This window comes from Homo sapiens, chromosome 12 (genome assembly GCF_000001405.40).
Source record: "Homo sapiens chromosome 12, GRCh38.p14 Primary Assembly".
Taxonomy (NCBI): Eukaryota; Metazoa; Chordata; class Mammalia; order Primates; family Hominidae; genus Homo; species Homo sapiens.
This window is the reverse complement of record NC_000012.12, coordinates 63,994,581-64,020,712: the sequence shown is the minus strand read 5'-3', so window position 1 is coordinate 64,020,712 and position 26,132 is coordinate 63,994,581. Positions and strand designations below refer to the sequence as shown.

The following is a 26,132-nucleotide window of genomic DNA, read 5'->3' as shown; positions in this document are numbered from 1 at the left end:
TGCCACCACGCCTGGCTAATTTTTGTATTTTTAGTAAAGACGGGGTTTCACCATGTTGGCCAGGCTGGTCTCGAACTCCTGACCTCAGGTGATCCACCCGCCTTGGCCTCCCAAAGCTCTGGGATTACAGGCATAAGCCACTGTAGCCAGTGAAGACTGAACTAATCTTAACTGCTCTGGCTGTCTTTTGTAGTGGCCTAAGAATTCAAATAGAGGTTTAAAACCATTTGAGGCCTTTTTCTTTTTTTTTCCCAGCAAATAAAGGCAAGATTGGGCAAAAATATAGAAAAGGAGCTGCAAGTCTTCAAAGCCTTTCCTTTCAGTAGCCACTCTAATGCCACCATCCTGTCTTTGCTTTAAGTCCAGGGCTTCGTGCCATATCCACACAACCTGTGCTCTATTGTATTATATATCTATCATATCATCATATGATATCATATCTACCCCATCATCTGCACAATCTGGCCTGGTAAAACTAGGTTCACTCTAACGTATAAATGGACCATAGGGCGTCTCTCTCTATTCTCCTTCCTGAGCATATATATTTTATTTGAGACACAGCCTTCTGATAAAATGTTTGAAATAATCAACAATTGCTGTGGGAGCAATATTCTGGGGTAAGGAAGTCCAAACATAAGGCTGTCACCCACCACAAAGGTTGACTGTAATTTAAAATTAAGTACTCCACTGGCATATGGAAGTTAGTATACTTCTCAACTGCTCACTTTCAACTCCCAAGGAGTGTCAAGGTTTGAGAGCAAGTGAGGAGTGAATATTTGCCAGAAAAGACAATTAAAAAGCATCCTCAATTCCCTGAGGCTATGTATTTTATGCCTGTTACTTCAACAATCACTATTACATCATCAGTTGTACAAAATTCTATGCACGATGCAACTTGGTTATTTGTTCATGACCAAAATGCCAGTGAGTGGTTGAATGGGGAACCTAAACTACATTCCTCCAAATATTGTTCCACTGTTCAAATATGCCTCATCTTGCCTCTTTCCTAATATAAACTGAGTAAGTATTAATATAATGGATAGATTTGATTTGAACAAGACAGAGTTTGTGTATCTGAAGATAAAATGCAAGAAAGACAAAATAGCATCTCCTTTTAGAATAAAAAGGGAGAGGGTGTGTGTGTGTGTGCATGAGTGATATGAAGTTCTCTCCCCACAGAATATGACCTCTGGCCTTGCTGAGCATGCTCTCTGATTAAAGTAAATTTTTTCCCCAGGAGCTCAAAGTGATCTACAGATGACATAATTAAAACCTCATTACTTGTCTGCCCTATCCCTTAATTCCTCAACCAATTCTGAGAGCTTAAATGACTGTGATAGGGTCACTCCAACCCTGGTGGCCTTTGGTAGAACCTGACTCTTTCAGGCTTTCAGGCTGATATTGATAAGAGTTCTGAGGTGTCAGCTTACTCACTTGAACGCTACAGAGTCTGCAAAATGTCTAGGTGCAATCGATAGGCTGGATCTAGGAGAAATTTAATTATATATATCTCTCACTGAGATAAAATTTTCAGGACACTCTATTGACTTTTCTTGTATTCAGTGGTCAAGTTCATCTTTGCCACTGTTGTCTTTACTACTACTACTATTTTCAGACCATAATCAACAGGCTCTAACCCAAGATGGCATGACAACCAGCAGACTTATTTTTTTAAGGTATTAGGGACTGATTTCTATTTCTAGGTAAAACAATGTCTAAGCAAAGGAACCTCAAGGAAAGTGCCACAATGTCCTCATCTTAAAAGAGTTCAATGGAAGACGACACAGAATTTCTGCTTGTTCCTCTTTGGAAGTCTCAGGTATACAAAGGTCATTTAACTTTTAAATTACTGGGCTTCTAGAAATGGTTGATACCTTAGGGTATCAGAAGCTAACAAATCACATAAAGCAGGAGCTAGAAATTGGCCTTTATCACATAAAAATCAGTTTCATTAAGCATTTGGTATATAGATATAATCTCTTAACCTGAGGCTTTTGTAGGTTGCATGGAGAGTGGAAAGTTTCTGAAGGAGGAACACATAGAAACTGTCAATTCAATTTATATGCACAGATGCAGTAAATGTGCTTTATAAAAATAGATTTATCACACACATAGTAAAAAACTAGAAAGTTCATTTTATAAAGAATCATTTTATAAAAGTTTAATTTACAAGTTTAATTAGTAAGTATCAAAGGAGCATTAAAAATTTAATTTACAAAACTGTATTTTACACACGTGCCTTTTTAGGAACAAATGGAATTGGTAAATCAAGAAACGTGCTTTCAAGTTTCAGGTTTAGTTTGCCTATAAAAAAACAATTCAGGCCAGGCTCGGTGGCTCATGCCTGTAATGCCAACACTTTGAGAGGCTGAGATGGGCGGATCACATGAGGCCAGGAGCTTGAAACCAGCCTGGCCAACATGGCGAAACCCTGTCTCTACTAAAAATACAAAAAAATTTGCCAGGCATGCTGGCGCATGCCTGTAATCCCAGCTACTCTGGAGGCTGAGGCAGGAGAATTGCTCAAACCCGGGAGGCAGAGGTTGCAGTGACCGAGATTGTGCCACTGCACTCCAGCCTGGGTGACAGAGTAAGACTCCTCAAAAACAAACCAACAAACAAAATAATCTTGTACAATAAAAATCCAAATATCTTTCATTAATATAAATTAATATTACTCATTTGTTGTTATTTTATTCTCTTAAAATAAAATATCCCCCAAAAGAAATTTGTATTTAATAACATGATCATTAAGTGTGAAAAAATACTTACATAAGTATATTACTAATTCCAACTTGCAACATCATTAGGTGTTAGTTATTTTTAATAAAGTAGTTTTAATTTATTTAATTTTTAACGATTACATGAAGTACCCTAAATAATATGTAAGTCACAAAAGCAAATTATTGCAAAAAAAAAGATATCCTTCAAAAGTAGTTTTAATATGTCATTAACAAAACAATTAATTGAACTAAAATGTGGGAAAAAAAGAAAGTACCAGAATAACGCAACCTAAATTGCTCAAGTTCCATAACGGCAACATTTTTTTTTTTTTTTTGAGATAGAGTCTCACTCTGTTGCCCAGGCTGGAGTGCAGTGGTGTGATCTTGGCTCACCACAACCTCTGCCTCCCGGGTTCAAGTGATCCTCCTACCTCAGCCTCCCAAAGAGCTGGGATTACAGGCGCATCCCACCATGCCCAGCTACCTTTTACATTTTTAATAGAGACGGGGTTTCACCACATTGGCCAGGCTGGTCTCAAACTCCTGACCTCAAGTGATCCACCAGCCTTGGCCTCCCAAAGTGCTGCAATTACACCACGCCTGGCCACAATGGCATCAATTTTAAACAAAATATTCTCGAATTCAATATATGTAGAGATCACATACAATCCAGTTAAAAACATATCTTATGGAGACATCTATACTTCAATTTCTTAAAGTGTGCTAATTGTGTATATACATGTGTACGTAGACAGACAGATAGGTAGATAGATAATTTATTTGAATACAGTTTCTCCAAATTGGAATGGAGTGGCGAAGGAATGTAGCTGTGTATACCTATCCCTTGTTCCTGTATTTCAAGCAGATGAGGATCCATTGTCACTCTGGCTTGGAATGAATACTACAATGAGCAGTGTTTTTACAAACCAGAATTCTAACCCAAGGATTCTAGAAAAGAAGAAAGATTATGTCCTTACCGTATAAAGCTCATTAAGAACCTTCATTAAATCCTCATGAAGTTGGAATGCAATCTCTTTGCTCTGTAATTAGAAAATAAAAAAGAATATTTTAAAATTATTTACATCTTAAAAAGTCCACTAACTGAAAATAGAGGAATGTATCTAACACGACAGAAAGACAGCAAGCCTCTGTAGTAAACATCTTTAACGGAATGGCCCTTTGTAAACTCTAGACATTGTATACAGATGGTCCCCATAAGATAAACAGAGCAAACAAGTGACAACCATGGGTGAACGGCTCCCCCGCCATCCAAACAGACTTTACCAAAAAGAGAGAAAAAGTAAGCAGGTTGAAGCGTCATGCTTGCTTAAAAGTTGAGTTGCAGAACTAAGGACCATTAAAGATGAACTAGATCATGACATTTTACAGTGTGATTCCCAAAAAGCTAACTTAGAAACCAAAGGGGAAATTAACTCCCTCTGCCCAAAGTTACAATGTGACTCACAACAAGTTTAATTTTGAGAAAGCACTTTTTTGTTTTTGGAGACAGGGTCTCGCTCTGTCACCCAGGCTGCAGCGCGGTGGCATGCTCACAGCTCACCGCAACCTTGAACCCCTGGGTTCAAGCAATCCTCCCACCTCAGCCTCCCGAATAGCTGAGACTACAGGGGCATGCAACCAAACCCAACTAGTTTTTATATTTTTTGTAGAGACAGGGTGGCGTGCAACCAAGCTCAACTAGTTTTTATATTTTTTGTAGAGACGGGGTTTCACCATATTGCCCAGACTGGTCTCAAACTCGGTAATCTGCCTGCCTCAGTCTCCCAAAGTGCTGGGATTATAGATGTAAGCCACTGAGCCTGGCAAGAAAGCACTTTCAAAGCAGTAAAATGGTAAGTCCACTCAAGGTCCATCAACTTTTACCTCTGCATTTATTATTATTTTCAATGAAGACAAAAAAGTGGAGAGTATCATTCTTCTACCCAGTTGGTAAAAAACAGCATTTGAAATAACCTTCCCTAGGCTAATTCTGAGAGTTTGATAGAGAAGTATTTGAATATTATTTTCAACAAAAGCTGTAAGTTATTTTAAGGAAATCATATATCCAAATGACCTTTTTTCCCCCATTTTGAGTTATGTAGTCAGCTACAGAAAATGGAAAAAAAATGTGTAGCATAGCTTAATCTACAGTTTGCAACATTAACAACATCCACTGGTCCGTGAATGTACCTCTCACTGGACTATCAGTGTTAGGGATAAGGGCCATATCTTAATCAGTTCTGCAACCCCTCGGTGTCCTGTGTGGTGCTTGGGCAAATGGGCACCAAGAATGCAGAATTTAAAGAGGGTCCTAGTCCTGGCCCAAGTCCATCTGTAAACATGAGGTCATTGGGTCAGGCCTCAACAAAAGCCAAACAAATATGATAGACTGAAGACTCATGGAAGATAAAATAGTGTGGGAAGATGGCATCAGAGCAGTACCTGAACTTTGAGAAATTTAAATTCATTAGCAGTATTTTTCACTGAATTTCCCTGGAGTATCTAAGAGAGTGCTGCTATTTACTAAGCTCTGACAGCTTCTAAAATCCCAAATTGGAGTTAAGGATTTTGTGTCTTGCTGTGTCCCTGATATGTGAAGATGTGGGTTACAAATCACTCAAGAGTGAAAGGAAAGTCATGAGTAAAAAAATGAAGTCAACTGAAACTCATTTTATTTTTCCTATGTCTTGATTATTGAGAGGGTATATATTATACTACAAATCTCCTATGACTTCAGTTTGGTGTTATTTTAATATCAGATTTCATTCAAGGATCTGGGCCAACAATTTAGAACTCTCTAATGGGATCAAAGGCCACCAACTAACTCTGCTCAGCTACCCACGTTTCAGGTAGCAAGTCTAAAAAGAAAAGATGGCTGGTCGCGTTGGCTCATGCCTGTAATCCCAGGACTTTGGGAGGCCAAGACAGGCAGATCACTTGAGGCCAGGAGTTGAAGACCAGTATGGACAACATGGTGAAACCCCATCTCTATTGAACATACAAAAATTAGCCAGGTGTGGTGGCACACACCTGTAATTCCAGCTACTCAGGAAGCTGAGGCATGAGAACTGCGTGAACCCAGGAGGCAGAGGTTGCAGTGAGCCGAGATCACAGCACTGCACTCCAGCCTGGGTGACAGAGTGAGACTCTGTCTCAAAAAAGAAAAAGAAAAGAAGAAAATATTTCTTGGCTAAGACTTCAGAACAATAACAACAACAACAACAACAACAAATTCCCTTATGTTCAAGAAACGTTAACCCAAGAAAATATTCTGGGTCAGATAAAAGATTTAGGTTTGGGGTTATAAGGGTCCTCAAAGCTATCTTAGGCCAAATATCTTTAGGACAAGATGATTTTTTCTTTTATTTAACGTTTATTTTAAGTTCAGGGCTACATGTACAGATCTGTAGTATAGGTAAACTTGTGTCATGGGGGTTTGTTGTGCCAAATTATTTTGCCCAGGTATTAAGCCTAATATGCATTAGTTATTTTTCCTGATATTCTCCCTCCTCCCAGCCTCCATCCTCCAGTAGGCCCCAGTGTGTGTTATTCCCTTCTATGTGTCCATGTGCTGACAAGTCATAGTATGTTCCATATTTTCTAAGACTTTAGATAATAAGGTAGAAGAAATCTGGCATCACAGACAGACTGTGGTCTGCCAGACATACACTTACATTTTTCTTTTGTCATTCCCCAGAGGCCCTGAAATATATAAAGTTTGTCTGCAGGCAGTATAATATAATGCTTAAAAGCAAGGTCTAAGGACTAGAGTCAGAATGCCTAAGGTGAAGTCTCAGTGACTTTGGATCTGCCTATGCCTCAGTTTCCTGACCTGTAAAATGAATATAGGCATTGTACTTATCTCATAAGGTTCTTGTAAGTGTTAATAAGATGATTCATGCATAGTATTTAGAATGGTTCCTAACACACAGTGAATACACCATAATTATCATTATTTCTTTTTCCAGACACTATTCGTTATGGCAACTCCCTTGAGTGAAAAGGCCACATCACCTTGTCCTTTCTTGTGGTCTCTTTTGACATTGATTCTATTGGCTTCCCTGTAGGAGGGGCTTGAGTTGACTTTGATGTCCCTCCCCACTGCCCTGGCCTTTAGATTCCTTCAGGTGACCCTGGATTCCAAAGGGCCCTTAAGGATTATGCTCCAGCTTTTCTTATATCCATATTCCCTTGCCATGTGTGTATATTAAACCTATCTTCCTATGTTACATTTTCTCAGGGAGTCCTACTACCAGTGCTATTGAATGAATTAATGAAACATCCCTTAGGAAACTGATAATTCCTCAAGTCCCCATAATAAGGTATATGTAACTGATGAAAGAGGCCCTAGAGGAGCAGGCTCCAGTGGGAATTTTAGATTTTGTGAAAAGTTGTTGTGGAGTTCCTTTCAGTAGGTAGACCCTTGGCTATCCTCATGACACAGCACCAAAGTTTCTGCCTGTTTGTCCACTTTGAATGACAGTCCAAACCCTCCATAGGTAAATAACGTAGAAATTAATGATTTTCTTCCCACCACTAGCCTTCAAAGATTGCTAAGGAACTGAACTATGCTCTGAGAAGCACTGGTTTATGCGACTAATTTGTGAAACATGAATTCACACATCCTTGTATTCACAGATACTTGGGCCAGATAAAACATCAAGTCCTAATCTGAATCCTGGGGACATGGTTCCTGTCCTCATGGTATGGCAACAGTGGAGGGAGCACCTCATGTTACCCCCACTTTAAATATGTTTCCAGTTTATTACAGTAACAATGAGAAACAATTGTTTTTTCAAAATGCTACTCTGGACTCCCAAAGAAGCAATCTTTAAACCAAAATGCACTTGGTGTGGCCCAGTTAGCATACGACATTACTAGGCTAATGAACTGAAATCCTTTAATTAGAAAATATCTGGGTTGTTAAAAGTCCATCAGAATTCAATAAGTGAGGCCAGGTGTGGTGGCTCACACCTATAATCCTAGCACTTTGGGAGGCTGAGGCAGGAAGATTACTTGAGCTCAGGAATTTAACACCAGCCTGGGCAACACAGTGAAACCTTGTCTCTATTAGGAAAAAAAAATATTTAATAGGTTAAATACACCTATGGATTCTATTTCATTAAAAATTTGAAAACAGGCCGGGTGTAGTGGCTCATGCCTGTAATCCTAGCACTTTGGGAGGCCGAGGTGGGCAGGTTGTCTGAGCCTAGGAGTTTGAGACCAGCCTGGGGAATATGGGGAAACTCCATCTCTAGAAAAAATACAAAAATTAGCTGGGCATGGTGGTGCACACCTGTGGTCCCAGCTATGAGAGGCTGAGGTGGGAGGATCTCTTGAACCTAAGAGTTCGAGGCTGCAGTGAGCTGTGAGCATACACTCCAGCCTGGGTGGCAGAGTGAGACCCACTCTCAAAAAAAAAAAAAAAAAAAAAAAAAGATAATAACTTAAAATATTTGAAAGCAGTGAGAGCAGACCCTTGGCCCTTGAACAAGAATTGCCACATAAGAAAAATAATATAAGTATTAAGAAAAGCAATCAATGTTTCTTCTGTGTTAGGGAAGAAATTTTTGTTACCCAATAATATATTCAAATAATGGTAAAACTTCTAATATTCTAATACATTTCATTAGGATTCTGGGATCCTGACCCAAGGGGAAGGAAAATGGATAGAACTTCAATTCAGTTAACATTTACTGAATATCTCCAGTGTATAAACCCAGAGTTTAATTCCAAGCCTATTTCCAATTGTTTACTGTTTATTGTCATTTTGATGTTTCAGATATTTCTAACATAAGTCCAAAATGAACAGTCTCAAAGTTTTTAATCTTTTTCCATCATGAAAATGAACTAAGTATATTGAATACTGAAGAAATAAGAGAATAGAAGGACAGTCCCCCAGCTCATTATAATTTTTTTTGTTTGTTTGACACAGGGTCTCCCTCTGTCACCTAGGCTGAAGTGCAGTGGCCTGAGATTCTCCCACCTCAGCCTCCTGAGTAGCTGGGACTACAGGCACACACCACCATGCCCAGCTAATTTTTGTATTTTATGTAGAGAGGGTTTTGCCATGTTGCCCAGGCTGGGCTCAAGTGATCTGCCTGCCTTGGCCTCCCAAAGTGCTGGGATTACAGGTGTGAGCCACTGCACTTGGCCCACCATTATGATTTGATGTATTTCTTCAAGTTTATTTAAACATAGGTCTAAGTATATTTTCCTATTTTTTTAAGTTACGATACATTTTTACATGTAATTATATAATTTTCAGAACCACAATTTGATTCATAACAACTACCTAGTAAATGTACATTAACATTAAATTTAAGTGTACTGTTTCCAATGTTTCCACTATTTTCTACCAACTAGTCAATCATTTATTTCTTTATTCAATTTCACCAATATGTTTTAAGCACTCTGAACTAATATCATAAATGCTGGTCAAAAGGCATATATCTTGCATTTGTATTATTTGCTTAAGCCAATTCCCAGACATGAAATTACTAGCATAAAAGTATAAACATTTTTAAGACTCCTGATACATGTTAGAAGATTATTTTTTAAAAGGGTTATAATGAAATCATAATGCTTCTAGGACAACAATGTCACTCAAGTCAGAAATCTAGGGTTCCTCTAAGACTGGCTGCTTTTCCTTGAAGAAGTTACCAATCTTATCAATTCTGGCTGATCAATTTTTTTCTATAGGTCATCAGAACTAAAATAAAATCTAATTAGGCTTCCTCTGATTAAAATTGTTGAAAGGCTTGCTACATTATTTTAGGATAGAGTTCAATTTTTTTTAACTCATCCATAACTTCTGCCTAACTAGTCTACTTCACTTTCCACAAATCCCACACCCCATCCTTCAGCCTGGTCCTAAACTGCTAAGTCTCAGGCCCCGCTTTCCCATCTCTGTACTTTCCTCAAGCCATTTCCTCTTTCCTAGACTCTCCCTCCTTCTCTTTGGCTGGTACAATCCTACATGTAACTCTGTAAAAACTTTCTGGTAACTTCAACTTGCCCCCAAGGAAAGAGATTAGGTCTTTCCTTCCTTTTGATTTTATAATACATTAATTTATTACCACCTCTAGGCCATCTAGTATACTGGCTAAGAGTTCAAACTCTAACGTTGAAGTGCCTGTGTTCAAACTACCTTGTTACAGTCTGTGTACAAGTTAAATAATTTTGCAAAGCCTCAGTTTTTCCACTGACAAAAAAGAATTGCTAATTATCTCTGTCACAGGGTTTTATTGAGATGGTCCTTATTACACACTTGAAATGTTGCTAGCAGGCTTGTCACATTTGTTTCTTTCCTCATAAACACAGTTTCTTTGAGAGCAGGGACCACATCCTAACAATTGTCCTTGCATTCCCAGTGCCTACTTTGGTGCTTGGCACCCTGGAGGTACAGGAGCTACATCTGCTGAATGAACAGCACTGAGTAAGGACTGGTTTCTGCACTCCAGTTTGCAATCTCACAAAGACGCCAGACATACCAAAACAGCTTTCTACATGGAGTGCTATGGTAAATGCTACACTGGGTGGGCCCTGGCCAGGGTCCCTATTCCTTACCCTATCCAGTCTTACCCCCAGAACCTCCCAGAAAGGAGGGAGAGGAAGAACAAAGAGGATAGTTAAAACAACCACGTATGAGTACACTGAGCAATCTATCAAGTGATCTATGTGGTTGGATTCAATGACCCATTCAGAAGGCCTATGGCCTTTTACAGAAGTATTTTTAAAGTAAATCTACTGTGATGACCAGTCAAGAAACCCAGACTGTATGCTGAGTCACCGCGGGAGTAAAAGAGAAAGAGAAAAACCAGATTAAATATTTACTGAGAGGGTTTCAGATGATGGCAGTGTCTCATGCTCAGTCAGTTTGGGATGTAAATTCTGGTTAAAGGGATCAGGCCATACTTCCACAGTATGTGTGCTTTTAAGTTTCCAAAGCTCATGATCATGTGTCTCTATGATACATTCCCTTAATTCAGGTAAACTCTGAAGACACAGGCAACAGCGTCTTCTAAAATGCCTAATGGAGAAAGTTGGGTTGTGCTTGATGGCCTGAACCAAGTTTCTGGGTAATGTTTACAGTGTTTCTGCACATTTCCCTTCTAACTGTCACGGGACATGGTTTTGTACTTACTAAAATCACAACTAAGTATTGAAGCTATCTAACTATCATGGAATTAGTTTCATGATCTACTTTACCCTAAAGGGGTAAAAACCAGATTTTTTTAGACAAAACTCCATGCCACTAGAAAAGGAGAAATTAGAAGGAATCACAAATACAGAGAAACCAGAGCTTCATTTCAAATCAAGACAAAACTTAACCATAAAGGGAACTATCTGGGGCATCTCTTACAATTACTGATGTAATTGCTGGACAAATGTGGTATTCTACATCCAGGTGAAAAAGGTCGGCTGTTGCTGTGTTCAGCCTTCCAGCAGACAATTTGAAAGGTGCATAGTCATCAACACCAAAGTCACTCACAATCTACCACATATAAACAGTATTTGAATGGGCTGATTAAGTAACTCAAGACTGAGATTTAAATCCTACAGGAAATAAAGTAGATGAAACAAGCGTCTTCATTTTCATTTCCCTAGCTCTTCAAGAAACACATGAAAAGTTGTTTCTCTACTCAAAATGCTGATAAATTGGAAACACCTTTTCAGTGTCACTAAATGAATAACCAGTTACATATAAATTCTCAGTGGCTGATGTAAATAAACCTACTTAATTAAAATCAGAATGAGTTATAAAACTGTTTCAGACTATAATTAACTAAAAATATCAAAAAGTAGTTCCAAACCATTTTCAATATGCTGAACTTCACAAAAGTGCAATCAACTCAGCTTTATGAGCAATTTCTCACTATTACCATAATAATATGTCTTCTTTAGTGCATGAACTTGAGCCTGCAAATTTATTAGTAAAGCCAACTGGCCTTCTTTTCTGTGACAGCCATAATTGTGAGAGATCCAAAGCTATACCGTTCCCTGGTGTGACCAAAAGCTCACATCTACAACTCAGGTGGCTGGGATTATAAGTATATTATGTAATGAAGCAAATTAGACCACATTGTGTAGGAAACCCATAAGCTTACTCTTAATAGTACTGTGGTAAGAAAAACCTAGGGACTAAGCAAATCAACAAGCAGGAAATTTGCTCATTTATAAGTCATCCATTGGATTAGCAAGCAAAAGGCAGAGATTCTTTGAGATATTGAAGTTCATTCATTCACATACTCAGTCACGCATTAACCCATTAATTCTACTAATTTTTACTAAGTGTCTCCTATGTGTTTAGGAAAGAAAAGTGGCCTTACAGTCTAGGAGAGAAACAGAGAGGTAATCAAAACAATTTCAATCCAGTCTGATTTACGCATCTTCAAAAACACTTTAAGCCAAGCAAAATCTCTATATTTATATCACTCTGGAACTATACCCATACTTTTTAAATAAAGTAATTGATCTTTAAAAATTTAAACGAAATCAGAAACTTCCTTTAAAGATTGACATTTGGCTGAATAGCACCACCTCAGAACTACAGCCAGTTAACTGGTCACCAATCTGACAATGGATGTAAGTAAAGGTACCAAAACAAATAGAAAAAGAAAAACATTCTTATGGAGTAAGTATCTTTTTGACAAAGACACTTGGGTTGCTGAATACAATCAGAGAAATTTTAAAAATCCTTGTGGCTAATGGGCAATTGCACATGGGATGACAGGCACTTTAAGGGGGAAAACCCCCAAAACCTTCAAGAAGGGCCAAGCTATTTAAATATCTGTTTAAATATATTTAACTTCTCTGAGCTGTTTCCGCTGTAAAATAGGGAAAGATCACAGTATATACTCCATAGCGTTGTTAAAAGGATTAAATGACATGCCCATGGTTATGTGCTTAACAGAGTGTCTGGCACATACTAAGCATTCCATAAGTATTATCTCTTATTGTCATTATGATGCTATTATTAGCTCAGCATCTTATCTTTATCTTGTGAAGACACTTTGTTTTTCTAAATTTGAATGCAACAGTCTATTCATATAAACTTTCAAATCAGAATGTCTTAGTCAACTCAACATAATTCAAGATTTACTTTTTAGAATATTCAACTGTGTTTGTGGTACTATATTAAGGAAGATAAAGTCCCTTCCAGAGAATATTGCAAAACTGCAACAAAGCAGAATTCTAGATGTGAGATAGCCTTGCTGACTTCAGACTGTTAGAAGGTCTTTCTTAGGATAAAGTAAACCTGTCTCTACTTAAGTTCCTCCAATTGGTCTTAACTCCTGTAGCCTTATAGAGTAGGTATGCTGATACCATCTTCTGTATGACAGGTCTTCAAATATTGAGTCCTAGCTGAGACTTATTTTCTCTGTACTAAATATTCCCAATGTCTTTAACTGCTCCTTATATCAGGGGTCCCCAACCCTTGGGTCATGGACTGGTACCAGTCCGTGGCCTGTTAGGAACTGGGCCACACAGCAAGAGGTGAGCGGTGGCTGAGCGGTGGGTGAGCCACCATTATAATGCCTGAGCTCTGCCCCCTGTCCGATCAGCCGCAGCATTAGATTCTCATAGGAGCACAAACCCTACTGTGAACTGTGCATGCAAGGCATTTAGGTTATGTGCTCCTTATGAGAATCTAATGCCTGATGATCTGAGGTAGAACAGTTTCATCTCGAAACTATCCCCTTGCCCTTAGAAAAATTGCCTTCCATGAAACCAGTCCTTGGTGCCAAAAAGGTTGGGGACCACTGCCTTATATGACACAGTTTACAGAAATCAGAGCAAATTCTCCTTGCCTCACAGATAACGGTTCATTATTTTCCAGCTAGTGATATTAAGTACAAGTTTTTATATTTCAAGGGGTTGAAGCTAAGATCTTGGGAGGATTAGGAAGCAACACAGGCCACTCAGTAACTTGTAATCACTTGTGATTGCCCTGTTTGGTGGAGTCAGTCCAAATCCATGTCTGCATAGATTATAAGCCCAAGAATCTATGAATCAGGATTAGATTCTTTTTCTTTTCCCAGTAAGCTAAAGATCCATCAGCTAAAGAAGTAGAAGCCTTAAGAAAATCTGAATAGGATGGACTGAATAAAAATATTCTGGATTTAAATTACTAACAGGGCTTTTAAAAGTCAACAGCAAAAATCCATTCAACTCGTTATTAATCTGCACCAATGATAATTCTTTTTTCCCCCCCAGGACACACTGGTGGTTGACAATAATAAGAACTTTTTGAAGGCAATGTCATTGTAAGTATAGAGTTATGCTCTGGCCACAACTCACATGATAGGATAAAAATTATCACCCAGATTACTAATGCAACAGCTTCCTCATCAGGTTCCCCAAGACAAGTTTCTTCCCATTCCAATGCTTTCAAATGCTTCACAAAGCTGATTAAGTCATATATCTGCTTTAAAACTCTCTTAGCATCCTTAATTGCTTAGATAACAACATACCAATTCCTCAAACTGAGATTCAAATTCTTGTGCCCTCCACAGCCTGCCTCTCCAGACCTCAGACAGCTGTTACTCACTGTTTATCCTTCATCACGCCATAGGCTACACTCCTAACACCAGCCAGCTGGGTAAGAGATGTGAGCATTTGCTCTAGGCACAGAAGTGGCCTAATTCATCTTTAAAACTCATTGCTGTTAAGGGGCCACCAGGAGTCTTATCTACCCTTATCTTTCTCTAGCTTCATTTCCTAGATATGTGCTAGGCTGGATCAGAAATTCAGAGCCTTGTCCTTGCTGGTCTGCCAGTATAGAAGAATGTACTTCCCCCAGTTCCTTTGTAAAATCTCACCAAGTTTAAGAGCTTGATTAAATGTCACTCTCTCTGTGAGGCCTTTCTTCCAGCCAGAATGCTTTACTCAATCCTTTGTGCTCTCATGGTCTTAGGTCCTATCTATCTAAGAGCAGTTACCAATTTGTAATGTAATTTTTATGTCTATAGTTCCTTTCCTTACTAGAGTCTAAGTTCCTATGGGGGTACCAGTTGAAGATTTGTGTCTTACTCGCTTTTGTGACCATAGTAGCCGCCACTGTGCCTATCACATAAAGGTTATCAATAGAGGTTTGTTGAATAAATCAAGAAATATAATGCCTATTCTGTTTTGGGAAAAAGCTGATTTCAGTAAAGTTAGGTTTCAGAAAAAATAAAAAGGGAAGAGAAGTATAAGTTACTATGCATTTGTCATGACTTCTTCGGTAGAGTGATTAGATCTTGTTAAATAATAAAAGCTGATTATAATAGTAGATCTGTGCAATCTCCATCTTTAGAGCTAAAGAGTTAAAACTTTTTTTTATTTTTATTTTTTTTTAAGAGACAGGGTCTTGCTCTGTCTCCTAGGCTGCAGTGCAGTGGTGCAATCATAGCTCACTGCAGCCTTGAATTCTTGGGCTCAAATAAGCCTCCTGCCTCTGCCTCCCAAGTAGGTGGGACTACAGATGTACACCACCATGCCCAGCTATTTTTTAATTTTTATTTTTGTAAAATGGGGGTCTTGCTATGTTGCCCAGGCTGGTGTGAACTCCTGGCCTCAAGCAATCCTCCCACCTTGGCTTCTCAAAGTGCAGGGATTACAGATGTGAACCAATGTGCCCAGCTAAGATAAAACTTTCATGGGCATGTTTATTCAAGCCAGCACATTAGCCAATTATGGTTCTATGTGTTCATTTGAAACTGTTAATGTTTAAAAAGTAGTGCTTGTGTTTATTTACTAATTATTGAAAATTATTTTTTCTCAATCTAAATAGTTCATACATCCACTGTCAAGATCTTTCCTTTTTTATAGGCTTCTAGGAGAATTATACAAAGTATTTAGTTGGCAAATTTTCTTGTTCCTATTTAACTGCTTCACTCACAATAATATTTTTTTTCTTCTGAGTTTTAAGAGGTACTGAAATAAATCTGACAGCCATATTCGGTATCTCTTCTGCAAATGCATATTTTTAGGTTGATATATTCCAAGGTATCACAAGTGTTTCTTAATTCAAATATTTGCTATATGTACAATCTCCCCCAATATGGCATTTCTTACAGCTGCTGAAAAATCTTTTAGAATCCCTATCATGTGGTATGAAACATAGTCTTCAACTGGTAAGAAAGTTGGCTAGCAACCAGAATACTGTTCTTAGGTTGCTTTAGAATTTGTTGACTCAACTGCAGACACCTCAACATATGGTAGGAATGTTCTCTCCTCATCAGTGTCTTTCTTAAAGCAGCATCTTCTTTCTCAGATGAGAAAAATGGGTAAGGATTCAATGTGTCTATGCCTCTTTGAAAATGAACTTTATTGGGCCGAGCGCGGTGGCTCACACCTGTATTCCCAGCACTTTGGGAGGCCGAGGTGGGCAGATCACGAGGTCAGGAGATCAAGACCATCTTGGCCAACATGGTGAAACCCTGTCTCTACTAAAAATACAAAAAATTAGCTGGGCGTGGTGGCGGGCCCTGTAGTCCCAGTCACTCAGGAGGCTGAGGCAGGAGAATCACTTGAACTCGGAAGGTGGAAGTTGCAGTGAGCTGAGACCACGCCACTGCACTCCAGCCTGGTGACAGAGTGAGACTCTGTCTCAAGTGAAAAACAAAAACAAACACAAAAACAAAAAAAGAATATGAACTTTATTAAGTGCTCATCTTTTATAAATAACTGAAATGGAATAAACCTGGTACTGAACCATATTTTTAAATTCCTTTTTCATGGGACATGAGGGACTGCGTGCCTTCTGACCTACCCCATGTTTGTTTATTGAATTTGGACTTGCAAACCCTAAGATGGGAAAACAAGCCAAACTGGAATATTTCTTTTAAAAAAACTAGGATGGAAGACTCAATTGACTTACATTAATGTTTCTCAGCTAGGGACAATTTTGCCCCCAGATGACACTTGGCTTGTCTGAAGACATTTTTGGTTGTCACAACCTGTGAGGTGCTGCTAGCATTTAGAGGGTTGAGAGTCTCACAGCCATTTGAATTAATGTTCCCCACAAAATAATGTATCATTTTTCACTGGCTGCTTTCAATATTTTTTTCTTTGTCTTTAGTTTTCAGTTTTATTATGATGTGTGTAGGTATGGACTCCTTTGGGTTCATCTAGTTTGGTTTTGCCGAGCTTCTTGAATGTGTAGGTTTATGTCATTTGCCAAATTTGGGAAATTTTCTTGCAATTATTTTTCAACTAGTTTTAATTTTATGCCCCACACTCTTTCTCCTCTCCTTCAGGACCTCTGATGACACAAATGTTAGACATTTGGGTATCATTCCCAAAGTCCCTGAGGCTCTGTTCATTTTTTTTAAAATATTTTTTCTCTCTGTTGTTCAGACCAGGTAATATCTGTTACACTACCTTCATATACACTGATTCTTCCCTCTGTTAGCTCCATTCTGATATTGAGTCTATCTAATGAATTTTTTTGTTGTTGTTTTAGTTATAGCATTTTTCAGTTCTCAAATTTCCATTTATACCTTTTTTTTTTTTTTTTTTTTTCTGAAACTTCCTGGCTTTCCATTCATTTCAAGAGTATTCACCCTTACTTCTTGGAACATTTTTATCGTGGTTGCTTTATTAAAAGTCTTTGTGGTCAGACATGATGGCTCAAGCCTGTAATCCCAGCACTTCAGGAGGCCAAAGTGGGCAGATCACTTGAGCCTAGGAGTTCAAGACCAGCCTGGGCAACATGGTGAAACCCCATCGCCAAAAAAATAACAAAAATTAGCCGGGCATGGTGGTGTACACCTGTAGTCCCAGCTACTTGGGAGGCTGAGGTGGGAGGATCACCTGAGCCTGGAGAGGTCAAGGCTACAGTGAGCCATGATTGAGCCACTGCACTCCAGCCTGGGCAACAGAGTGAGACCCTTCCTTTCTCCCTCCCTCCCACCCTCCCTTCCTCCCTCCCTCCCTTTCTTTCTCTCTTTCTCTCTCTCTCTCTCTCTCTCTCTCTCACTCACATACACACCCCCCCCAAGATCTTTGTTAGATAATTCAAACATCTGTGTCATCTCAGAATTTGATGTTTATCAATTGTTTTACTCATGGAAGTTGAAATTTATCTGGTTCTTTGTATGCTGAGTAATTTTGGATTGTGTTCTGGATATTCTGAATATTATATTATGAAACTCCTAGTCTTGTTTAAACCATATACAGAATTCTGATAATTTTATTCTATCAGGAAATCAATCTGGTTGGATTCGGAATACAAATTCTGACCAGTATCCTATTGTTAATTGTTTCCAACACCTTTGCAGTGCTATCTGTACCTGTCCTGCAGATGCACCACAAAGTGGCCTCTCTAGAACTCACACAATGCTCCTATTCTATAGTTCAATTCTCGAAGTCTTTGGTAGGTTTCTGTCTAGGATTAGTCCCATTCATGTGTAGCTTAGGGATTCAGCAGTTCATAAAGAACTTTATGGTGTTGCTTTCTCAACCTTTACCCCTTCTGAAATCTCCCCAGTACTTTTTGGTTCCTAGGGCTCCCCTTTTCATTGCTCTAACTGGAAAGTTGGGGCTTTAGTTATTCTAATCTACTAAACACTCCTTATGACTGTGTCCACATCTGAGGCCAAGTGGCAGCAGGACAGACAGAAAATAAAACAACAGGTTGTTGCCCCACCCTCTTGGATCACAGCTCCTCTGATCAGGGAGGAAAGATTCTCTATTTCAGAGTTGTAGGTAGTTGTAGGCCTCTGTTGGTGTCACTGCTGCTGTTGCCATTTTGGGATTGTCTGGTGACTGGGGCATGAGGAAGTAGCGAGAAAAATGAAAAATTTGGGATCATCTTTATTTTCCCTTTTCTGCTTTTTGTGTCACAGCTAACAGCTTCTCCTACAGCCCTCCATGTTTATGTAAGTCCAATGTCTCCTTCCAGGTTTCTAGCTGCCTTGCATTTAGGCTGGAGGATACTGAAGGAAAAGAAGTGGAAAACATAATGCCAATTTGACGGAATTTTAAAAATCTGGTCTTCTTCCCCAAACTACCTGCTACTTTTTAATTTTCAGTTTTTAAACTGCTGCGGGTATTCAGTGTTTTTAAAAATGCCTTCAGTGGGAAAGGCATGGTGGAGTATACTTAGTCAATTTACCCAAAACCTATTTTTATCTTTTGATTTCATCTACCTTTTGGGGAGGGCACAGGTCTTTACCTAGTGTATCATTTAACTTTTGCTGTGGAACAAAACATCCAAATTTAGTGGCTTTAAGCAACACTTTACTTAGCTCAGTTTTCTGTGGGCCAGCTGGGAGGTTCTTCTGTTGTGAGCTGGCTTGGCTGTGTTCTTTCTTGCATTTGCAATCAGCTGGGGTCAGCTGGCAATTGGATGATCTAAGATGTCCTCAATATATGTGTAATATTTGGCTGGCTGTCACTTAGGAGGCTTCAGTTGCCTTCCATGTAGTCTTGTGCCTCATCCAGCAAGCTAGCTAGGACTTGATAACTTGTTACATGTCCAAAAACATCAAAAGAGGGCAGGCCACAATCTGGAAGCACTTTTCAAGTATCTGCTTGCTTCACATTTACCATTGTCCCATTGACCAAAGCAAGTCATATGGCCAAGCCCAAAGTCACTGTGGGCAAGAAATACTTCAGGGAGTTGATAAAAGGAAAATGCTAACTTTGCACACAATCTACCCAAACTAAGTGTGTATTCAGGAAAGTACACTACATATTTAAGATTGCTCTTCAGTTGCTTTTTAAAATGAATAACAACTTGGTTGTATCTAGAATTTTGGAGTTGTAACTTTCCTTCAATTGTCCTTGCAGGTTTTGCTCCATTGTTTTCTGACATTTAATATTATATATAAGACCTAATCTGTGTTCTTTTTGAAAAGAGGATGATTTTATGGAATGCTGGGTAGAAGTCATGCAAGCTTGAGGCTCGAAAGTACTACGTGTTTGTGTGTGTATGTGTATGTGTGTCTTTTCAGCAAGTTTGTTTGAAAACTCATATTTTATTTTCATATTGTGATATTTTCTCAAGTGGGGATTCTTTTTCATATCATATTTCTTTTATTTTTAATTATCGGTCCCTCCAAGGGTTGGTTGAAATCTTTTCTACTTTTTCTCAAACCTTATTTTCCCAATAGACCATTCTTTCTTCTCCTCTTGCTTATGAGATGTTATCACTTCTAACTTCACAAAGAAACAGGAATAGAGAATCCCGCATCCATAGGAACTCTTCTTTCATCTCCAAATACAGTCTTTTGCCAGAGGCTAATCCCTCTGCCTGTCCTTTGGGTCCCATTACCTGCCCCCTTGGCAGAGTCTTGGATCAATCAATTACACCTGTTCTCTCCTAACATGTCAAGCTTCCCTTTTTGTGGCTCCTTTTCCTCAACATATTATTTTTGGATTTTTTTAGACAGGGTGTCACTCTGATGCCCAGGCCAGACTGCAGTGGTGTATTCATTGCTTACTGTAGCCTTAAATGCCTGGGCTCAAGCAATCCTCCCACTTCAGGCTCCTAAGTAGTTGGGAGTAGAGGTGCACATCGTCATGGCTGGCTAACTTTTAAATATTTTTTCTTCAGAAATCATGTCTTGCTATGTTGCCCACGCTGGTCTTGAACTCCTGGTTTCAAGTGATCCTCCCACTTCAGCCTCCCAAAGCACTGGGATTACAGGCATGAGCCACCAGGCCTGGCCCTCCTCCACATTTTAAACTAGTTTGTCCTAACATCCTGGTTTTTTTTTTTTACACACACACACACACACACACACACACACACACACCCCTACCTTTCTTGACCAATGTTCTTCTTCAAATACTTCCCTTATCTTTCCTCCTCTTCACAGGCAAATTTCTAGACAATACTGTCCACATTTGCTGTCCTAACTTGCTCACTCAACATCTGCCATTCTGCCCAGACTGCTCTTACAGAGATAACCAATGACCCTTTGCTGCTCAGTTCAGTGGACATCATGGACCTTTGCATATTGACCACTCCCTCCTGGCAGCATTTTCTTCACTTAGCTTTCCGGACACCTCACTGACCTGCGTTTCTTCTCACCTCTCTGGCTGATCCTTCTCAGTCATTTTATAGGATACAGTTCTTCTTCTTATCCTTTAATTCCTAGTTTTGCTGCGAGTTTTTCTTACTCTTCCCTCCTCACCCTATATGTTCTCCCTGGTTTATCTCAGCTACTCCCAAGATTTTAATGACCTGCCAAAGGTGGAAGATTCCCAACTCTCTAGTCTTGATCTCTCTCCTGAAGTTCTTGGTCTGCTTATGGGGCTTCTCTACCCAGTTATCCATAGGCACACCCAAAAGTAAACACCGTGTTTTCCATAATCCCGTTCCCATCACAGCCTCTGTGTCCTGAGCCTTCTCCTCTCATATGACGCCTATCACCCTGACAACTGCCCAAGCCTGGGTGTCACCTCTGACTGCTCCCTCTACATCTCTCTTCTCTCCCACCCAGCCAATCAATTACCCAGGCCTACATATTCTATCTCCAACACACCACTCGAATCCACCTGCTCCTCTGTTTCTACTGCCACAACCAAGGAAGAGCATCCTCATCTCTCATCTGGATTAGTTCCAAGAGCTGCAAACTGAGACTTTCTGTCTTATTATCTTTCAATCCACTCTCCACACTCCAGGCACACTGAAAGTGGATCACGTCACTATCGTGTTTAAACCTGTGAATGGCTTTCCACTGCTCTTAGGATAAATTTGAACTCCTCAATATGGCCTTTAATTTCAACTCCTTATTTCTCCAATCATCTCTCTTGCCATCTGCCCTCTCCCATTCTTTGAGTCACCTACAAAGAACACCTTTTTCCTCCATGAAATCTCTCACGGCATGTGGTTCTTCACACATGCTGTTTCTTCCTGGAAGAGTTTTCTGCTCCTTTACCACCATTTTCCAGCTAACTCTTAATAACTGATTCAAATTGCAGCTTTCCTCATCTCCAAGTCATAAGAAGTAAGGGGCTTCTCCCCTTACTGTACAATTAACATGCTGTTCTGTAATTAAGATTGTAATTGTACTTTCCCACTATAAGATCCAAGGGGCAGGGAGAAGGCCTGTATTGGTTACTGCTGTATCCCCAACATCTTGACAAATGCCTGAGACAAAGAAAGCTTCAATAAGTACTTATTGAAGAAGGAATGAATAAACTATAGCATGTATTTAGAGGAACTATGTATTCTTCTCTGTTTATTCATACTTATTCCTGCAAGTATGTGCATAATTATCTCTCTAAGGAAGTTCATGCTTGCCTGGTATTGTCTTAAGAGTCAAATGGCAGGCTGAGCTTGATTTTGAGTGACAGTTCTTGAGTAATTTTTCTATAGACTGGATTTCCAAATATCTCAAGGAATGATGAAAAAGAATATAAATAATCCTGAGAGCAATTTTCAGTTGGGAGAGTTAGGTGGGAATCTGTGCCATGTGAACCTTCCGGTGAATTTCATGGTGCCTATGGGTGCTTAGAGCAAAGTGTGGTGCTTTTTAATGCCATGGTCCCAGGGCTACCAATCTGTGATAGAACAGAGAAGATGCTCCAGTGATGAGCATCATCAGTCCTCCTAGCTGACCTGTGAAGGTAGGTTACTACTAGGACCCACTCTGATTTCTTTCTCTCAGGAAGTAGGATGTACATTATAGTGTTGCTTAAACATAGCCTTGCTAATGCTGGGTCTTGCTGAAATGCCTTGAAACTTCTGTTATGTAAATGCCACTATCTTTGGTTTCTAATGCAGAAGTAAATCTTTATTCATTACTTATTCATTCAATAAATATTTACTGAGCACCTACTCTGTGCCAGTCATTGTTTCAGTGAACAACATGAAGGTCTCTTCCCGTAGGAACTTACACTGGAATTGAGGGGACAGAAAGTCAACAAATAATTAAGTAAATATATAGTATGTCACAAAGGGATAAGTGCTATAAAGAAGAATAAAGCTGGGGAAGGGAGGTGGGGATGTAGACTTTTGCTCTGAGTGTGGTGAGAGTCATTAGAAGATTTGGGCAAAAGAGTGATAGGCTCTGCTTGAAGTCGAAATAATTATTCTAGTTTTTCCTATTTATGTATTCGATTGGTCATTTAACAGATACTTTGGGAAGTAAGGTGGTTGGAGCCCATGTAGAATCTGCCGTCATAGTCAGAAGTCCTCTGATTTCATGTCTTCCTATTTTAACCATCTTAAGAGTGCATAATCCAAGTGAAATTTTCAATTGGACCCGGAGAATAGGCAGATTCTCCATTAATAAGCAGCATTTGGGGATGAATTATTTACTGGATAGGGTTTTCCCACTCCTTTACAGCAAACAAACACTGGTATACCTGGACCAAACTTTTCCTTCAGACTTCAGTTTACAAAAAATAACTGTTTTATTGTGTGTTTTATTATACAACTTGTTCATTGTGTAAAATCAGAAACTACAGATAAGCAAACAGAAGAAAATAAAAGTAACTTAGAGATATCCATTTAAAACAATTTACCCTTCTAGATTTTAATTTTAGCTAAAAAATAAGTTTTCAAGCATTCCTTGACCACTTATCTCAATGTAATTATGAGTTCAAGTACAGGCAGGCCATTACTTAACCACAGAGACATATTCTAAGGAATGCATCATTAGGCAATTTCATCATTGTGTGAACATCATAGAGTGTACTTACACAAATCCAGATGGTATAGACTACTATATACCTGTTCTATATGGTATAATCTACTGTTCCTAGGCTACAAACCTGTATAGCATGTTATTGTACTCAATGACGGTGGTCCCATAAGATTAGAATGGAGCTGCCCTATGCAGGTGTATCATTTTTTTTATCTTGCATACTGTAATTGTATTGTACCTTTTTCTGTGTTTAGATACTCAAATACTTACCATTGTGTTACAGTTGCCTTCAGAATTCAGTACTTCCTCTTGTTATATTAAAGTTAAAGCCAGGCCAATCACACATATCCTGTTGTTACTAAATAATAAAAGCAACAATGTAACTCCAAGAACAGCAGCACCAATAATTGCTATTCAGAGAGCATTTATTATGTGCTTGCCATCCTGATAAGCAATTTATAAATACAAATTAAAAATATTTTCTAAAATATTTCAGAAAATTACATCATTGCAAAAAATGATAGTTTAGTTTTGGCTTATTTCTTAAAAAATAAAAAGTTAGTCATAGGGTTGATAAAACCCAAGAGAACCAGCTAGCAGTGTTAGCTTGAACTATTCTTATTTATCCAGGCCCTATCAATAATTAAGCTGCCCCTTGAGGCCACCAGAATACCATTTAATTCTTCTGCAACACTGCACTAAAATGCTTTGGAAAAGTTCTTCTTGTTATATTATTTACTACTGTTATATAAGTATACTAAACTATATGTGTTAGCTTACTGCTAATAAAAGCCAATTAATTTTTCAGCGAATATATGACCTGTTTGTACATGACAACCATGACCATCATTACTCCAGAAAAGAAAACAGTAAGAATTTAATTCAAGACATGAAATTCTAACAAAATTCAAAGGCCACCCTCTGACTTGATAATTCTACTTCAAAAAATGTAGCATAAGAAAAAAAATCATAGATTTAAATGTCTAACAACAGAAAACTAACATGGCCATGCACATAGTAAAGTACTATGTAGTCATGAGGTAGCCTATTTCCAGATGTGAGAAATGCTAATAATATTCTATATGAAAATGGCACCTTTCCAAGCCATATAGAATGAAATCTCAATTCTGTAAAATATACACATATATATTTAAGTATATGTATACACATATAAATAGTGAAAAGATAGAGCCTAAAATTTAAAAGTAGTTAGTGTTAATATGGGTAATTATTATTTCTTTTTATATTTATAGCGTTTTCTAAATTTCTACAATCTATATCTATTTTTATATTCAAAGAGAAATAGGTTCTTTTTTCACATATAGAGATTGGTAGTTTTCAGATGCTTTTAACTTATGGTACTTTTTTTAAAAAAAAAAACAAGGTCAGAGCCTTAGAGATCTGTAGTCAAGTGGTATCTTTTATTAACTTCTACTAAAACATGTTTGAATATTAACCTATTTTAAATGGTGTATTTGAAACTACAGCTTTTCTCCTCCATAAAATATCTTTGCTTTTTTTTTCATGTTGGGGTATTTAAATAGAATATGGCTGTCTTTGATCAAAATAAAAAATAAGTATGAATCTTACTAGTAACCTTTCCTTTCTTTCAGATTAAGCCACACAATCAGCAATACCTAAAGTGAGTCAACTGAATTTCTGTGAGTCTGACTCTGACAACCTATGGGACTTATGCCAAAGAGGGGTTATTCTCACTGGCTTTGGGCCAGTTTCTGCTGCTTTGAATCCCTCCCTATAACTTGGATGATTGACAAATGTTGTGCCTCTTCCCAGAATATCATTCTTCAGTCTTTTCATAAGAATGACTAGGACAAGAACCATAGTGTCCTATTTCTCAGAAGTTTCTGACCCTATGCATTGGGTGACATCTCTACCACCAAAAAATACCAACAGAGTACATAGGAGCTATGAACTATCTAAGACATACGGGCAAAGACAAGAATACATGCTAGTCAGCCTGATGCTGCAATTTATACTCCTGAGCATTTTGTTTCCTTATCCCTGAAGTGTGGATATAATACCTGTTCTCTGGGCAGCTGTGAGGATATGTGAGCTAATTTATGAAAATGTAGAGTACAGTGCTTGGCACATAGCTAAAACTCAGTAAGTGGCAGCTTATAGATATCATTATTGGTGAAGAAACAAGATGAATTATATTGTACATGTATTTATGTAAACCAAGGAAGGATAAAAAATATTAATGATTTTAAAACAATCTTTGGGGAAATGACAGACTTCAAGGTAATTTAAAACCCATAGAGATAACCTAACATATTCAAATGCCACCATTTGATGGTATACCTCCAAACTACATACTTCTATTAACGTTCTTAAAATTGGTAAATAACACCTTGTGATTAGGTGCTTAAATAAAGTGATTATTGCAAGCTGGCTGGATAGCCTGTCCTGCAACTGTGACAGATGACATTAATTACATTTTTATGCGTAGCATATGAACTGCACATTTTCTGGCTGCAGAACCAAACCAGATGCAGAGTACTCTGTTTCAGCATGAGTAATGGAAAGAAGGAAGCAAAAGCTCATGACTGCAGAAGGCAGAGCTGGAGAACAGGGCAAGAGGCACATCAGCCCTGGTTCTTTGGGAAACAAGTGAGGGTTGAGAATGAAACAAGCCCTTGTGTAGCAGGAGCCTCCAAATTCTGACCTTCTCTTAAAATAGCTAAGCAGAACTTAAGAGGTTAAAAGCAGAGTACTCTCCTATCTGTGTTTACATTGTCTACATCTAGTAGAAGGTCTGGAATTAAATAACTCTTTTGTTGAATGAAGAAATCAATTC

At 38.5% G+C, this 26,132-nt stretch overlaps 1 protein-coding gene and 1 long non-coding RNA gene across 8 annotated transcripts in view, besides 1 other annotated feature; one reads left to right on the top strand and one right to left on the bottom strand.

The window, feature by feature from the left end:
- The window catches only part of SRGAP1 (SLIT-ROBO Rho GTPase activating protein 1), a 317,518-nt gene that overhangs the window by 141,505 nt on the left and 149,881 nt on the right, over positions 1–26,132 (bottom strand). For all 4 annotated transcript variants that reach the window (NM_020762.4, NM_001346201.2, XM_024449096.2 and 1 more), the window contains exon 4: positions 3,701–3,763. In NM_020762.4, coding sequence (NP_065813.1) covers positions 3,701–3,763 — 63 coding nt within the window. The remainder of the gene's footprint in view (positions 1–3,700; positions 3,764–26,132) is intronic.
- On the top strand, positions 934–25,008 carry LOC105369801 (uncharacterized). Of its 4 annotated transcripts, none has more exons than XR_945023.3 (5): positions 934–1,020; positions 13,944–13,993; positions 14,243–14,328; positions 24,123–24,183; positions 24,928–25,008. It is a non-coding gene; the product is annotated as an uncharacterized LOC105369801 (long non-coding RNA). The 4 variants fall into 4 exon arrangements; XR_945021.3 differs by lacking the exon at positions 934–1,020 and adding an exon at positions 4,472–4,576; XR_001749173.2 differs by lacking the exon at positions 934–1,020 and adding an exon at positions 10,163–10,245.
- Positions 10,390–10,684: an enhancer, noted in NCBI's record as "tiled region #2861; HepG2 Activating DNase matched - State 6:EnhF". NCBI's record gives its function as "activates a minimal TATA promoter and a strong SV40 promoter by Sharpr-MPRA in HepG2 cells {active_cell/tissue: HepG2}" and the evidence as "EXISTENCE:reporter gene assay evidence [ECO:0000049][PMID:27701403]".